Raw genomic sequence first — 12606 nt, 5'->3', positions numbered from 1 at the left:
CATCCACCCATCCACCCAAACACACACTTACTCGGGCTGTAGGGCTGGGTTCCAAGGTAATGTCCTGGCGGGAGCTATTGCTGTTCCGGGTAGGGCTGCAATAAGGGGCACAGATGATCAGGAACAGCTCCCAAGCACCAGGTGAATTTCAGAAGTTTGGGTGGGAAACTTTCTACATTTGGATAGTAAAGGCATAATATCCTTATTCATATTCAAATAAGAATCTGCCCTTTTGAAAACCAAGCCACTATTTGGACATTAGAACTGTCCAAACCAAAAAGAAGTAGGCAAAGGCCAGCACTATAGTAGGCCCAACACTCACTTGTATTTTCTCCTACGGCCACGACGAGACTTTCTGACTACTCCCGGGGGCACCTGAGAAAAGATGGACTATGTGTGTGGGAAATTTCGAAAAAGGCTCCAAAGCCCCAACCTTTCCTCAGAGCCCCTGAGCCCAGACTACCAGCACTCTGCACTCACCTTAAGGTCCTCAGAATGGGGCCCGGGAGGGGGTGGATCCTTGGGCTCAGCACCCCCTTCAGCCAGCTCCCCATTATGCTGCCAATGGTGGGTTCTTCTTGGGGACCTTTCCATTTGTCCATTGAAGCCACCACGTGTCCCCCATTTGAGGGCCAGTCGGCCAGGCTCCCGCCGGCTGCCAGGCTTTCGGCCCCGGGCTGGCCTGGCCTCACCATTAATGCCCCTAAGTCCCCCTCCTCCCCTCCGGCCCCGTTTCCCTGACCCCCTCCCAGTGAGCAGCTCAGGGACTGGGGGGTCGGGAGAACCATGGGGTGGGGCTAAGGCACTGAGGGGAGGCCTGGCAGGCTCTGGTTCGAGGGCTGAGGCAGGGCTCTCGGGGGGTAGACAGGGGGCTTCTGGCTGCTCTGGAGGGATCTGCTGGCAAAAAAATAAGTTCTCAGTCAATCTCAAATACCGTCCCTCTTCTACTATAACTCAGAAAGCCCTAAATTTCCAGTTTGAGAAAAAATTATCTCCCTGACAAATATATGCCCACACCCTCACCTGGAGACTCTGTAGCAGGCAGGCTAGGGGACTAGAAGCCTCTGAGAGGGGTGGAGGAGCTCCCCCCCCAGGGAGGAGCTGCAGCCCCAACTGGCCAGAGAGAAGAGGGCCAGGAGGCTGCAACAGGCTGGGGAGGGCTCCAGGGCTGCTGGTCAGTGAAGACAGGTCACCTGTTGAGAAATTATAGTCAGGGGTCTCTCCCTAGGCAAACCAATTAGGCTGAGCAGACCTACTATTCTCTTTAGGCTTTATCCAGTGGCCAAAGACTTTCTTCCCCAATTTATTCAGCCACTACTCCCAAGTTTTACTCCTGCTTTTTCACACCAAGAGTGTGAATTCACACTCCCTCAGACTCACCCAGCAGGCTGGCACCCAGCAGAGGGCTAAGGAGTTGGGGGGGTCTCCCTGAGTTGGAGGGGGCCTTGCCCAGAGAGGAGGCCCCCGGGTCAGTAGTTGCCGTGGTGACACTGGAGGTAGGTGGTCCAGGTTGGGGGGCACTCAGGACACAGGGCTAAGAAAAAAGAATGATTCTAACACTTACGCGTGTAAAATACTCAACAGATTTATAGTGCTTTCACATCCACTATCTGACTGAAGCCTCAAGTGAGATAGGCCATGCTTATTAAATACAGACCCAATTCTTGCAGTCATCCTACCCCCAGCCAAGAACTAAGGCCTCCCCAAAGGCCCCAAGGAAGAGCTCAGGAATGAAACTGAAAGCTTTTGATTCCCAGCTCCCATCTCTTATTCTACATCTTGTTCTGTCCCACCTACTCACCCCCATCCTCACCTGGGGGGGTGTCCCCGAGGGGGGATCCAGGGTGGCAGCCAGCAGCGCAGAATTTAAAGCTATGAGGGTAGGGGGGGCTGAAAGTGGGGGGAAAAGTAGGGGGGACAGGTCTCCCAAGCCTGAAAATGGCTCCCCACTTGGACCCCCGGCTCCCTCTGCAGATCCCTCCCCATCCCCAGCTGTGGGGCCCAGAGCCAACAGGGGCAGGAAAGAGGCAAGGAGGTTGCTGGGAGGTGCTGAAGGAGGTGGAAGAAGGTCTGAGGGTGGTGGAGGAAGCAAGGAAGCCACCAAAAGCGAAGGCCCTTCAGGCTCTCCTGGGGCTAGGGGAGGACCAGGTCCTCCTGGTGGGGGTAGCAGGGGCTCAGGGGGAGGTTGTCCTCCTCCCCCAGTCAGCACACCAAATAAACTGTGGTTGAGCAATGGAGAAGGTGGAGGCTGCCCCAGACTCAGAGGGAGAGGCAAGGCCCCAAGCATCCCAGGGAAGCCAGCTCCACTCAGTGCCAGGCCCTGCTCAGGGCTGGGGAAAGGGAAAGCCTCTCCACCAGCCAGGGGAGGCAGAGGGCAGGCCGGGCCTGCCCCCATCCCCAGTCCTTCGGATGGGCTTTGAAGCACAGGGCTGGGGACTACTGGGGCTTTGGAGGCAGCTGGTGGGGCAGGGGCACCTGTAAAAGAGGAGAGAAATTCAGCTCAAGGGAGGCCCTTTCTCCCATCATCCAAAGAAGCCAACCTCCCTGCCCCCAACCCAGAAAACCCTCAAAGAGCTCTCTGAACATTCCCCTAAATGCCTTGGCTGCCTCTTTCCAGCCAGGATGAGGAAGGGCTCCACAATACTCACATACCTGGCACACTGCTGAGGCTGCCACTGGTGGTCCCAGGCAGGGAGGGCTGGATGGGGTGCCTGGGCTGGGGAGGGCTCCCTGAGGAGAGGGTTGGGGGAGGAGGAAGGTGTGCATCTGACCCCAAAAGGTTAAAGCTTCCATCAGAGTGGGAAGGGCCAGGGGTGGGGAGTCCCAGCAGGGACAGCACAGAAGGGAGAATTGGTTGGGATGGCTCCGGGAGAGAAAAGGGTTGGGGGACAGGAGCAGGGGCCCGAGGACGGCTCCGTCTAGGGGTTTGAGGGCCTCTCCCTTCTAGCAATCGAAATACAGTAGGGGGTCTGCGGGGACGACGCTGAGAGGGACGAAGTGATGAGGAGTGGGAAGCTGAGGGTGCCTGGGCACGGGGCCTTCGGCCCTGTAAAGTGCTGGGAGGGGGTAGTGGGGGATGCTGTGCCTTGGCCGCTGCAGAGAGTAGGCTGCTAGCAAGGAAGGGGGGTGCCCCAGGCCCCTCCACCGTGGGGGCCCCTCCCAGGGGCCCCAGGACCAGGGGCAGGTGCATAGTGGCTGAAGACACTGGTGGCTGAGAGGCAGGACCAGGGTGGGCGGGGAGATTATTGCTCGGGGGCAGGGGAGGGGGTGTTAAGGCATCACTACAGTGGAAGAGAGGAGGGTCTGAAGGTGGTGAGGAGGAGGCATGAGGGGCCGGAGGAGAGCCCAGGTCAGAGGGCACCAGGCTGGATCTGAGGGCAGCTCCCCAGTTGTATGAGGGAGCATTGAGGCTGATAGCAGGTGGAGGAGGTGGGGCTGGAGAGGGGGCATTGCCCCTTGGGAGGAAACGGGGGCTGCTACTGCCCCCAGAAGGGACTGGGTCAGCAAGCCTTGGGGGGAAAAGCCCCCCAGGGCCTGCTAGAGTGGGAAAGGCCTGGGAAACTGAGGGTGGTTCTGGGGGAAGGGAGCCAGGACCCCCATTAAGTGGAGTTGTAGGAGGAACTCGACAGGGAGGGCGGGCAGAGGGGGGCCCTGGGGACACAGTGTGGAACATTTGGGGGCTCGCTCCCTCTCCTGCAATAAATGAAAAATGAAGGGTCAGCCTGTGGCTCCCCTTCCAAAAACTCTTTTGTCTTCTCTAGTCCCATCTCCCACAAGTTCCCAACCTCCCTGTGCCCTCCTTTCAACATGCAGCTCCCCACCCACTCCCCTTTCTCTTTGCTCCCTCTCAAGGAACTCCTCCCACCACCAGCCTTCCAAGCCCTTAGGTTTTCCTCGGTCTTCTGTAAAGTGGCAGAAGACTCACCAGGAGAAGAGTGTGAGCAGGTGGTCTCCATGCTGCGGTACAGAGTTGCCATAGCAACAGCTTTCCGCCGGTGGTTGCACAGCTTGGTCATGTCCTCCTCTGATGCTGGCCCCACCCCAGCCCCACCCGGGGTCACCGGGGCCAAAGGGTCAAAGTTGAAAACCTGTAAGGTGGAAAGCAAGGACAGGGACCCTGAGGGGCTGGAACCTGTGAGAAGGGCTACCTCAGTCAGTGATTTGCATTAAGACTTTTAGCTTATCTCTGTACTCTCAGGCGCCCCTCACCACTCTGACCTTGGGGACATTAAGTGGACACTCCAGACCGCACTTGCAGGTCCCATCGCTGAGGAGGTAGCTCCGGGTTTGCTCCAAGGAAGACAGCTCTGTGCCACTTGGACTGCGAGAGGACAGGGTCAGAGGACATGGGGTTAGCTGGCAGCGAATCAGGCAATACTCCTAAAGCACAGTGCTTAAGTTACAGATCCTCCTAGAAGAACAGAGGATAAGGAATGTGGGAAGACACAGAAAAAGGGAGAATGGATTCAAAGGCCCAGAGCTACAGAAAGCAAAAAGGCTGAGGAAGGAAGGGGAAGAGAGGAGAGCAATCGGGTACCAGAGAGCTGAGCTGAGAGAAGAAACGGAAGAAAGAAAACCTGGGCAACTGGAGTGGCAGAGCTTGGGGACCTGTGAAGATCCGTACCTGATGTAGAGCACAGCACCCTCTCGCACACAGCGCTGCCAGCCGATGGGGACAGATGTGGCCACAGGGCCCCCAGCTCTGTCTGCTCCACTGCTCTCATTGCCCCCATTCATTGTGTGTAATCAGCTCCCGCGTGCCTGATAACACAGACATCCATGTAGGCACTAGGAGGATTAAACTGAGCGAAGTACCTGAGAGAGGACTCCAGGAAGGCAAAGGTTGTGGGGAGACCCAAGAAAACTCAGGGGAAGCCCCAGAGGAGCAAGGGGAACCCCTCAGCTGGGAGGGAGACTGAGGAGTCCTCTGCCGTATCACCACAGCTACCTGAACATCTCTGCAAACATTGTGGGGTCCAGTCTAAAGCCGGGGCCACCAGCTTAGCCCACACCTGCAACGCAAGTAGAGAGATGGGACTGTCAGGAGTCTGCCCAACTCTAAAGAGCAGCACAGCCCAGCACCCTCTCAAAAGAAAGATCCTTAACAATGTGAGGCAAGCACCTATAAAGATCTCGGGGATCTGCTGGCTTAGTCTACAACCATCCTTTCCAAGCCCAGTCCCTAGGGACCAGAGGGTCAGAACCTCAGCTCCCTGGGACCAAGAAAGTCTAGCCCAATTCTTAGGCATATGAAGGGCAAGGCCTCCCTCCATTCGGAGTAGAAGACTTCAACCAGGAGTATGGGCACATTCCCATAATGCTAGGCCACTAGGAAGTTTCCCAGAGTGTCTGGCTCCTGTTGTTCTCTACCCAGGAAGATGATATAAAAAGTACAGATTGCCCCACAGGTCACCAGGCAATTGCCCAACTGCCCGCTGGGGTGGTACCAGCAGAACTCCCCCCATGCCTGCTCCATCAGACAATCGCTGATATAGTTCATTCGGGTCTTAAGAGGTGAGGATCACAGCTCAGTCTTCTCCCAGGATCCTGGGAAGCTCCTGATTTTCCCTCAAGCCTACGGCAAAGGGATTCAGAACCTCCTATTCCACTGGCTTCCGATTATCTCCAAGAGAGCCTGTCCTCCGATAGAAGGGGAAGCCCCTCCAACCTGCAGGTATCCTCCCCAGCCTCACCATTGCTCCCACCCCACACTGGCGGCTTCCAAACTTTCCCTCTCACAACAAGGCGCCCTGTCACCCAGACTGCTTCCCTCAGCTTGAGGAGGAGGGGAAGGCGCACGAAGTAGGAAGGAACTTGGGGAGAGGGCGGGCGGAGGGTGGGCGAAGCACTGAGGGGAGGGCGGTGAGGAAGGCAGAAGTCTGGCAGTGAGAGGGAGAAGCGGCGGGGGCAGGTGAGGGCGGGGGAGTGGGGATGGGGCCGGGGAAAGGGGCCGAGAGGACGCGGAGGGGGCAGAGGGTAGGGACGGGAGGGGGAGGGGCAGGGTGGGGGGGGCCGGGCCCCGCACTCACCGCGGCCCATGGTTCGGCCGGCCCCGCCCTGCGCAGTCGCGGCCCAGAGGGTGAGTGGGAGGGGGTGGGAGGAGGGTCGGTGGAGCCCGAGCCTCCGGTACGGCCCCGGCCGGTCCTAGCAGGAAGCGCCGCTGCCGCCGCCGCGGATCACCGAGCGGCCTCCCGCGCATGCGCCATGGGGGCCAGGGGCAGCCCTGGGGATTCCGTTCCCAGAAGGCACTGCGCAGGCTGCTGCCGCTGCCGCCGCCGCCGTCGCTGCCGCAGCCGCCGCCGCAGGAGCCGCCGCCTCCGCCGCTGCCCGGACGGGAGAGGGGCGGGGCCGGGCCCCCGCCCAGCGGACAGCGACGAGCCAACTGGAGGGGCTGCAGTGCGCATGCGGGAGCGCGCCTACCCCTCCCCCACAACCCCCCATTAATCCCCAAGAGAACAAACACCCCACGCGGCCCCCCCGCCCTCCGCGGAAGGATCTGCGCCTCTTCCCAGGCCACTGGTGGCCAATCCCAGCCCTCCTCAGGGAGGGGCCCCTTCCAAAGCCACAGTCTGTTGCGGGAACCAGGAATGCCAGGTCCGGGAGGGGCCAGGCCCCGAAAGATGAAAGTCGCGACTTGCCCTGCCCCGCCCCAAAGGCTTCCCGGGTAGTGTGCTGGGACTTGACCCGCCTCCCCAGGTCAACATGTCACAACACGACCTCAGCCTGTCAAGTCACATGACCTCTGCCTGTCACTGACAACCTGGTCTGTCTTTAGGCCAGGGGAGACCATCTGGTCCACCCTCCACACTACCCCCATTTTCAGAGAGGAAATGGAGGTGTGGAGCAGCGGAGCAGCCTAACCAAAGACCTGTCATTGCCACACCACTCCAGTCACAACCGGCCTTGTGACAGTTTCTACTTAAACTCTGGCTGCCCCCATGAGGGTATGACAGGATATGTAACAGGCCACCACATGGCCTCTGTTTTCAAGGCACAAGAAAAATACTTTGCATTCTGGGTGGTGCGTTTTACTTTTGGTCAAGTTGCCTCCAAGTTCATGGTTCTCATTTTACCTTCACAACTTTTATCTTTAATTTACAAACAAGGACGGTAAGATCCCTTGGCAAGTGATGGGGAGTTGAGTCTAAAATCGCGGCTCCGGTCTCCCCAGTCCAGGGCAGTCCTGCGCTGAAGTGCACTCACACGTCCCGGGATGAGACTCCGCTGTAAATCTCGACCCGAACACCTAGGAGGCAGGCCTGTGCCGCGCTCCTCACACAGGGAGTCACAGGACTTGCTGTCTGGTACAGCAAGAGAGGGTCTTGGAGAAAGCCATAGGAGTACCGTGGGGGAAAATAGGTGGCCAAACAGAATCGGGTCCACTGGGCAAAATACATGACTTCTGGCAGGCTGAGGGCTTACCAACTACAAGGTAAAAGTCAAGGGCGCTGTTCTGAGAGAAGCGGAAAATGACTACCAAGGGATTCCAGTACCTCGGCCCCTTTTGGGAGATTTACGGGGCTAGAACAGGAGACCACCCCCGTTTTTTTGTTTGTTTGTTTTGTTTTTTGTTTTTGGTGAAACGTAGTCTCGCTCTGTCACCCAGGCTGGAGTGCAGTGGCGCGATCTCGGTCACTGCAACATCCGCCTCCAGGGTTCAAGCGATTCTTCTGCCTCTGCCTCCAGAGTAGCTGGGATTACAGGCGCGCATCACCACACCCGGCTAATTTTTGTATTTTTAGTAGAGACGGGGTTTCACCATGTTGGTCAGGCTGATCTCGAACTCCTGACCTCAAGTGATCCGCTCTCCTCAGCCTCCCAAAGTGCTGGGATTACAGGCGTAAGCCACTGAGCCCGGCCAGGAGACCTCTTTAAGAAGACTCGAGATGTCGACAATCCCAGTGGATGGATACCAACTTTAAAAAGAAAAGTTCAAAAGGCCTATGTGCCCATTAGCTGGGAGGGGCCAAGAAATATGGGAGTCCCTTATAGTGGGGGTAAAACGGCGGGTAAAGCTAGGTGGGCGGAACAGCAGCTTCTGGGGGAGACAAGCGGCAAAGAGGCTCACGACCGACTAGGGGCGACCAAGGCTGATAGCCGTTGGGGCCGTTGGGCGCCGGGAGCTGGCGCCCCGCCCTCTCTCCTCTCCCCCACCCTCCGCACCTCCCACCACCCTCGGTGTCCCCTGCGCGTGCGCGTGCAGACACCGGTTGCCAAACATTGCATCATCCCCGCCCCCCTTTCCTCCCCTCCCCCCCCGCTACACTCCCCTCCGCGCGCGCGCATGACTCACCCACCTCCTCCGTGAAGCCTCGTGACCCAAAGCCACTTCCGGGTCCGACACTACGTCGACCCCCTAGCGAGAGGGAGCGACGGGGGCGGTGCCGCGGGGCTCCTGAGTGGCGGATGCGAGGGACGGGGCGGGGCCAATGCCGGCGTGCCACTTTCTGATTGGTAGGTTTTGGGGTCCCGCCCCTGAGAGGAGGGCAAGGCCATGGTAAAAGATTACAGCCAGGCGCTCCCGAGGTCAGAGACTTAAGTCTAAGGCACTGAGCGTATCATGTTAAAGATGAGCGGGTGGCAGCGACAGAGCCAAAATCAGAGCTGGAACCTGAGGAGAGAGGCGAGTACTGATTCCCATCTACCTTTTACCCTCCCGTCTCCTCAAAGTTGGGGCGTCCGCTCTTTAGGATCGGCCTCACTCCTCCACAGTGAAGTTAGGGACCGTCCGAGAGAGGAATGGGGAGAGTCCCTTATTCTGGGGTGGTGCTTACAAACCCCTATTGCTTCGGACGACGGCGTCTCTCCACCCCTGCCCGGAGCCGGAACACGGGCCCTGCTCTGTGCTGCTGGGCAAAGGGACCTCGGTTGCCCTTGGGAAATTCATTCTTTCCCGTAGCCAACTTCAGGCCTCATCGTTAGGCCTGTCCGCGGGGAGGCAGGTCAGCAGGACACACCCCCGCTCTAAGACTGGGTGACCATCGCTCAGGCCGTTTCCGCCGCTTCGCCACCAGCGGGCCTTCTCCCTACCCCACCCCCAATTCTGTCTCAGTCTCAGTGCCTCTGGTGTCAGCATGGCCACCTTGGTAGCTGGGGCTACTGGACCCTGCAGCGGATAGGGGAACCTTGAGGAGACACAAGCCTTTGGGAGGGGTGCCGATGGACAGGGAGTGGTGTGTTTTCCTTTTGCCGTAGAGGTCTCTGGGCCTCCTGCACAAGAGAGCAGCCTGGATCTCTTAAGTGTAGGAGGCCATTTGGGGTCTCCCCAGGGTATTGTCCTTCCCTCGGGATTAGTCCCTGCCTCTTTAACCCGGTCCTGTCTCCCAGCTAATCTCTGTGTAACCATTGCATCAGGCCAGCCCCGTTTGGCTCTGCAGCCTTCTGACCTGAGGCTCTACTGCTGATGAAAGCCAAGTCCCACACACTGGAAGGCAAGGGAGGGTTCCCCAGGGAGGACAGCCCTGCAGAGAAATACTTCGGGCAATATTGCATCTCTAGCCCCTAGGGATCAGCAGCTGCCACTCTGCTTCTGCCCCTTCCCTATAAGAGAGACTGGGGGGAGTTTATCCATTCATTCTTAACAAATACTTAATGAGGACCTACTGTGTGCCACACAGTTTGGGGCTCAGGGTACATCCTTGAGCAAGAGGAAAAAATCATCTCAGTGGGAGGCCTACAGTAAACAAAATATAAGTGCCACGGAGAAAGCTAAAGCAGAGAAAGGAATGGAGAATGTTCAGGATGGAGGTCAGAGTGTTACATCAGGTGGTCAGGAATTACCTTAGGTAATTCCTCCACTCAAAACCCTTCAGTGACTTCCATGACATGAAATAGGAAGTCATTGGAGGGTTTGAGCAGAGGAATGACCTGTTTTAAAAGGCTCACTCAGGCTGCTGTATGGTGAATAGAGTTGCGGAGGGGTGGCAAGAGAAGAAATGGGAAGACCTTCTGCAGTCAGAAAGTTTCTGCAGTAATTTAGAGATGGTAGTGAATTGATCTAGATTGGAAACAATGGAATTAGAAGTGTTTAGATTCTTCTAAGCAAAGGTTTTAAAAACTCATTTTTAAAGAATGAGTTAAGGGCCGGGCATGGTGGCTCACACCTGTAATCCCAGCACTTTGGGAGACCAGAGGTGGGTGGATCACCTGAGGTCAGGAGTTCAAGACCAGCCTGGCCAACATGGTGAAATCCCATCTTTACTAAAAATACAAAAATTAGCCGGGCATGGCAGTGCATGCCTGTAATCCCAGCTACTCCGGAGGCTGAAGCAGGAGAATCGCTTGAACCCAGCAGGCGGAGGTTGCAGTGAGCCGATTGCGCCACTGCCTTCCAGCCTGGGCAAAAAGAGTGAGACCCGTCTCAGAAAAAAAGGAATGAGTTAAAATTTGCTAGTACTTTGGATTGCAGGGTGTGAGAGAAGAGGAATGAAGGATGATACCAAGGTTTTTAGCTTAAGCAACTAGAGTTGTCATCTGAGATGGGGATGACCTTGGAAGGGGAAAATCAGCAAGAGTTTGCCTTTGCACATAGTCTTAGGTGCCTATTAGACATTGAAAAAGAAATGGCAAGTAGGCAGTAGACAGCAGAGTCTGAAGTTCTGGAAGAGGTCCAGACTGGAAATGTACATTTGGAGGATGTCAGCCCTGTGGGAATGGAGTTAGGAAAATGCTATGATTTGTTCCCTTCCCTGTAGTTTAGTTTTTACCCTGGCAGATTTGAGGCCTGCTTTGGATTTAGAGAAAGCTGAGTTGGCCAGGACTTTACTATTATGTAACCAGGACTACAAATGTCAGCAACTAAAAATAAAGAAAGTCAGGCCCTCTTCTGCCCTTCGAAATGGCTACAGGGACCAAGTATGCATACCCCACAAGACCAGAAGTAAGGAAGGACCAGTAGGAGGCTGGAGGTAAAAGAAAAATAAGGGCCCAGCACGGTAGCTCATGCCTATAATCCCAGCACTTTGGGAAGCGATGGATCACAAGGTTAAGAGATGGAGACCATCCTGGCCAACATAGTGAAACCCTATCTCTGCTAAAAACACAAAAATTAGCTGGGCGTGGTGGCACGCGCCTGTAGTCCCAGCTACTCGGGAGGCCGAGGCAGAAGAATCACTTGAACCGAGGAGGCAGAGGTTGCAGTGAGCCGAGATCGCACCACTGCACTTCAGCCTGGCAACAGAGCAAGACTTGGTCTCAAAAAAAAAAAAAGAAAGAAAAAAAGAAAAAGAAAAGTAAGTTGCCTCTCCCCCTTCCAAAAATGGCTGACATTTCTCTTTGTTGCCCACAGTGTTCAAGAAGGAAGTGTATCTTCATACATCACCACACCTGAAAGCAGGTAAACTTAACCTACCCTTTTCCAAAAATTTTAAACGGCAGGACAGTAAATATTTTAGATGTTAAAAGTCCTATAGTCTCTAGCGTGACTCTTCATCTCTGCCACTGTAGCACCAAAGCAGCCATAAACAATATGTAAATAAACAGATGTGGCTGTATTCCAGTACAACTTTACCTACAAAAACAGGCATCAGACCAGCTTGCCAACTTGTGGCATAGACTGTTTGCTACATGGAGCTTGTTCCAGCCACTCCCCATTATCCTGCAGATGTGCTTTTCCAGACTGATCCAACTGCAGAGATGGCAGCTGAGTCATTGCCTTTCTCCTTCGGGACACTGTCCAGCTGGGAGCTGGAAGCCTGGTATGAGGACCTGCAAGAGGTCCTGTCTTCAGATGAAAATGGGGGTACCTATGTTTCACCTCCTGGAAATGAAGAGGTAAGAATGTTAGCCCTAAAGCTAAAGGGGGATGTTACCTTTCCCTTCTCAACTAATATCTATGTTCCCTTTCCTCATTTCCTTGAAGGAAGAATCAAAAATCTTCACCACTCTTGACCCTGCTTCTCTGGCTTGGCTGACTGAGGAGGAGCCAGAACCAGCAGAGGTCACAAGCACCTCCCAGAGCCCTCACTCTCCAGATTCCAGTCAGAGCTCCCTGGCTCAGGAGGAAGAGGAGGAAGACCAAGGGAGAACCAGGAAACGGAAACAGAGTGGTCATTCCCCAGCCCGGGCTGGAAAGCAGCGCATGAAGGAGAAAGAACAGGAGAATGAAAGGAAAGTGGCACAGCTAGCTGAAGAGAATGAACGGCTCAAGCAGGAAATCGAGCGCCTGACCAGGGAAGTAGAGGCGACTCGCCGAGCTCTGATTGACCGAATGGTGAATCTGCACCAAGCATGAACAATTGGGAGCATCAGTCCCCCACTTGGGCCACACTACCCACCTTTCCCAGAAGTGGCTACTGACTACCCTCTCACTAGTGCCAATGATGTGACCCTCAATCCCACATACGCAGGGGGAAGGCTTGGAGTAGACAAAAGGAAAGGTCTCAGCTTGTATATAGAGATTGTACATTTATTTATTACTGTCCCTATCTATTAAAGTGACTTTCTATGAGCCAAGGTCTTTTACTTTTTCTTCTTGCCTTTAGGGGCTTCAGGGGGTTTCCCCTCAGCTACAGCCAACTGTTTCTTTAGATCCAAGAGTTTCGCCACCTCCGCAGCAACCTCGTTCTTGTCTGCCTTTTGTGCTTTCAGTTCTCGGACAATGTTTCC

At 55.6% G+C, this 12606-nt stretch overlaps 4 protein-coding genes and 1 non-coding gene across 35 annotated transcripts in view, besides 12 other annotated features; 3 read left to right on the top strand and 2 right to left on the bottom strand.

The window, feature by feature from the left end:
• The window catches only part of MBD6 (methyl-CpG binding domain protein 6), a 10831-nt gene extending 2505 nt beyond the window's left edge, over window positions 1-8326 (bottom strand). For 6 of the 22 annotated variants that reach the window (XR_007063029.1, XR_429075.3, XR_429073.3 and 3 more), the window contains exons 1-12: window positions 6030-6217; window positions 4949-5012; window positions 4625-4761; window positions 4219-4321; window positions 3926-4088; window positions 2653-3693; window positions 1814-2475; window positions 1381-1534; window positions 1024-1193; window positions 481-897; window positions 323-375; window positions 32-95 (exon numbers count right to left, since the gene is read on the bottom strand). Coding sequence is in view for 9 of the 22 variants with exons in the window: in XM_005268617.3 (XP_005268674.1) it covers window positions 32-95; window positions 323-375; window positions 481-897; window positions 1024-1193; window positions 1381-1534; window positions 1814-2475; window positions 2653-3693; window positions 3926-4088; window positions 4219-4321; window positions 4625-4737 (2940 nt within the window). In the remaining 13 variants the exon portion in view is untranslated. Of the gene's footprint in view, window positions 1-31; window positions 173-322; window positions 376-480; window positions 898-1023; window positions 1194-1380; window positions 1535-1813; window positions 2476-2652; window positions 3694-3925; window positions 4089-4218; window positions 4322-4624; window positions 4762-4948; window positions 5013-5693; window positions 5779-6029; window positions 6218-7073 lie in introns of those variants that run through there. The other 16 variants (XR_007063035.1, XR_007063032.1, XR_007063030.1 and 13 more) reach the window with 9 other exon arrangements.
• Window positions 5849-6808: an enhancer, noted in NCBI's record as "H3K27ac-H3K4me1 hESC enhancer chr12:57916016-57916975 (GRCh37/hg19 assembly coordinates)". NCBI's record gives its function as "activates a minimal SCP1, AML or CMV promoter by ChIP-STARR-seq in primed H9 embryonic stem cells {active_cell/tissue: H9 hESC(primed)}" and the evidence as "EXISTENCE:reporter gene assay evidence [ECO:0000049][PMID:30033119]".
• Window positions 5986-6385: a silencer, noted in NCBI's record as "silent region_4583". NCBI's record gives its function as "represses an Ori minimal core promoter by ATAC-STARR-seq in GM12878 lymphoblastoid cells {active_cell/tissue: GM12878}" and the evidence as "EXISTENCE:reporter gene assay evidence [ECO:0000049][PMID:35858748]".
• Window positions 6646-6785: an enhancer, noted in NCBI's record as "active region_6547". NCBI's record gives its function as "activates an Ori minimal core promoter by ATAC-STARR-seq in GM12878 lymphoblastoid cells {active_cell/tissue: GM12878}" and the evidence as "EXISTENCE:reporter gene assay evidence [ECO:0000049][PMID:35858748]".
• Window positions 6809-7769: an enhancer, noted in NCBI's record as "H3K27ac-H3K4me1 hESC enhancer chr12:57915055-57916015 (GRCh37/hg19 assembly coordinates)". NCBI's record gives its function as "activates a minimal SCP1, AML or CMV promoter by ChIP-STARR-seq in naive and primed H9 embryonic stem cells {active_cell/tissue: H9 hESC(naive and primed)}" and the evidence as "EXISTENCE:reporter gene assay evidence [ECO:0000049][PMID:30033119]".
• Window positions 6809-8759: a biological region, named in NCBI's record as "BRD4-independent group 4 enhancer GRCh37_chr12:57914069-57915268".
• Window positions 6906-6975: an enhancer, noted in NCBI's record as "active region_6546". NCBI's record gives its function as "activates an Ori minimal core promoter by ATAC-STARR-seq in GM12878 lymphoblastoid cells {active_cell/tissue: GM12878}" and the evidence as "EXISTENCE:reporter gene assay evidence [ECO:0000049][PMID:35858748]".
• Window positions 7066-7175: an enhancer, noted in NCBI's record as "active region_6545". NCBI's record gives its function as "activates an Ori minimal core promoter by ATAC-STARR-seq in GM12878 lymphoblastoid cells {active_cell/tissue: GM12878}" and the evidence as "EXISTENCE:reporter gene assay evidence [ECO:0000049][PMID:35858748]".
• Window positions 7556-8755: an enhancer, noted in NCBI's record as "BRD4-independent group 4 enhancer chr12:57914069-57915268 (GRCh37/hg19 assembly coordinates)". NCBI's record gives its function as "activates an origin of replication core promoter dependent on BRD2, P300/CBP, MED14 and CDK7 cofactors, and independent of BRD4, by STARR-seq in HCT116 cells {active_cell/tissue: HCT116}" and the evidence as "EXISTENCE:reporter gene assay evidence [ECO:0000049][PMID:35650434]".
• Window positions 7770-8729: an enhancer, noted in NCBI's record as "H3K27ac-H3K4me1 hESC enhancer chr12:57914095-57915054 (GRCh37/hg19 assembly coordinates)". NCBI's record gives its function as "activates a minimal SCP1, AML or CMV promoter by ChIP-STARR-seq in naive and primed H9 embryonic stem cells {active_cell/tissue: H9 hESC(naive and primed)}" and the evidence as "EXISTENCE:reporter gene assay evidence [ECO:0000049][PMID:30033119]".
• Window positions 8100-8559: a silencer, noted in NCBI's record as "silent region_4582". NCBI's record gives its function as "represses an Ori minimal core promoter by ATAC-STARR-seq in GM12878 lymphoblastoid cells {active_cell/tissue: GM12878}" and the evidence as "EXISTENCE:reporter gene assay evidence [ECO:0000049][PMID:35858748]".
• DDIT3 (DNA damage inducible transcript 3) lies at window positions 8524-12453 on the top strand. 9 transcript variants are annotated; one of them, NM_001195057.1, is made up of 4 exons: window positions 8524-8623; window positions 11288-11335; window positions 11617-11772; window positions 11861-12453. In NM_001195057.1, exons 3-4 carry the CDS (start codon window positions 11635-11637, stop codon window positions 12230-12232), a joined length of 510 nt encoding a protein of 169 aa, NP_001181986.1. In that variant the 5' UTR covers window positions 8524-8623; window positions 11288-11335; window positions 11617-11634; the 3' UTR covers window positions 12233-12453. The 9 variants fall into 9 exon arrangements, 8 of the variants coding, with proteins under 8 accessions (NP_001181986.1, NP_001181984.1, NP_001181983.1 ...); NM_001195055.1 differs by having other exon boundaries at window positions 11522-11772; NM_001195054.1 differs by having other exon boundaries at window positions 11499-11772.
• LOC128125814 (uncharacterized) lies at window positions 8561-11329 on the top strand. The gene is made up of 2 exons (NM_001414991.1): window positions 8561-8623; window positions 11288-11329. The coding sequence occupies exons 1-2, from the start codon at window positions 8561-8563 to the stop codon at window positions 11327-11329; spliced, it is 105 nt and encodes a 34-aa protein (NP_001401920.1).
• Window positions 8630-8759: an enhancer, noted in NCBI's record as "active region_6544". NCBI's record gives its function as "activates an Ori minimal core promoter by ATAC-STARR-seq in GM12878 lymphoblastoid cells {active_cell/tissue: GM12878}" and the evidence as "EXISTENCE:reporter gene assay evidence [ECO:0000049][PMID:35858748]".
• Window positions 8730-9691: an enhancer, noted in NCBI's record as "H3K27ac hESC enhancer chr12:57913133-57914094 (GRCh37/hg19 assembly coordinates)". NCBI's record gives its function as "activates a minimal SCP1, AML or CMV promoter by ChIP-STARR-seq in naive and primed H9 embryonic stem cells {active_cell/tissue: H9 hESC(naive and primed)}" and the evidence as "EXISTENCE:reporter gene assay evidence [ECO:0000049][PMID:30033119]".
• Window positions 9782-9878, top strand: MIR616 (microRNA 616). Its single transcript, NR_030346.1, has one exon. It is a non-coding gene; the product is annotated as a microRNA 616 (primary transcript).
• The window catches only part of MARS1 (methionyl-tRNA synthetase 1), a 28585-nt gene continuing 28367 nt past the window's right edge, over window positions 12389-12606 (bottom strand). For both annotated transcript variants that reach the window (NM_004990.4, XM_047428851.1), the window contains one exon: window positions 12389-12606. In NM_004990.4, coding sequence (NP_004981.2) covers window positions 12460-12606 — 147 coding nt within the window. In that variant the 3' untranslated portion in view covers window positions 12389-12459.

The sequence above is a fragment of the Homo sapiens genome, chromosome 12 (assembly GCF_000001405.40).
Source record: "Homo sapiens chromosome 12, GRCh38.p14 Primary Assembly".
Lineage (NCBI taxonomy): Eukaryota > Metazoa > Chordata > Mammalia > Primates > Hominidae > Homo > Homo sapiens.
Note: the sequence above shows the minus strand (reverse complement) of the source record. Positions and strands in the feature narration are given on the sequence as shown.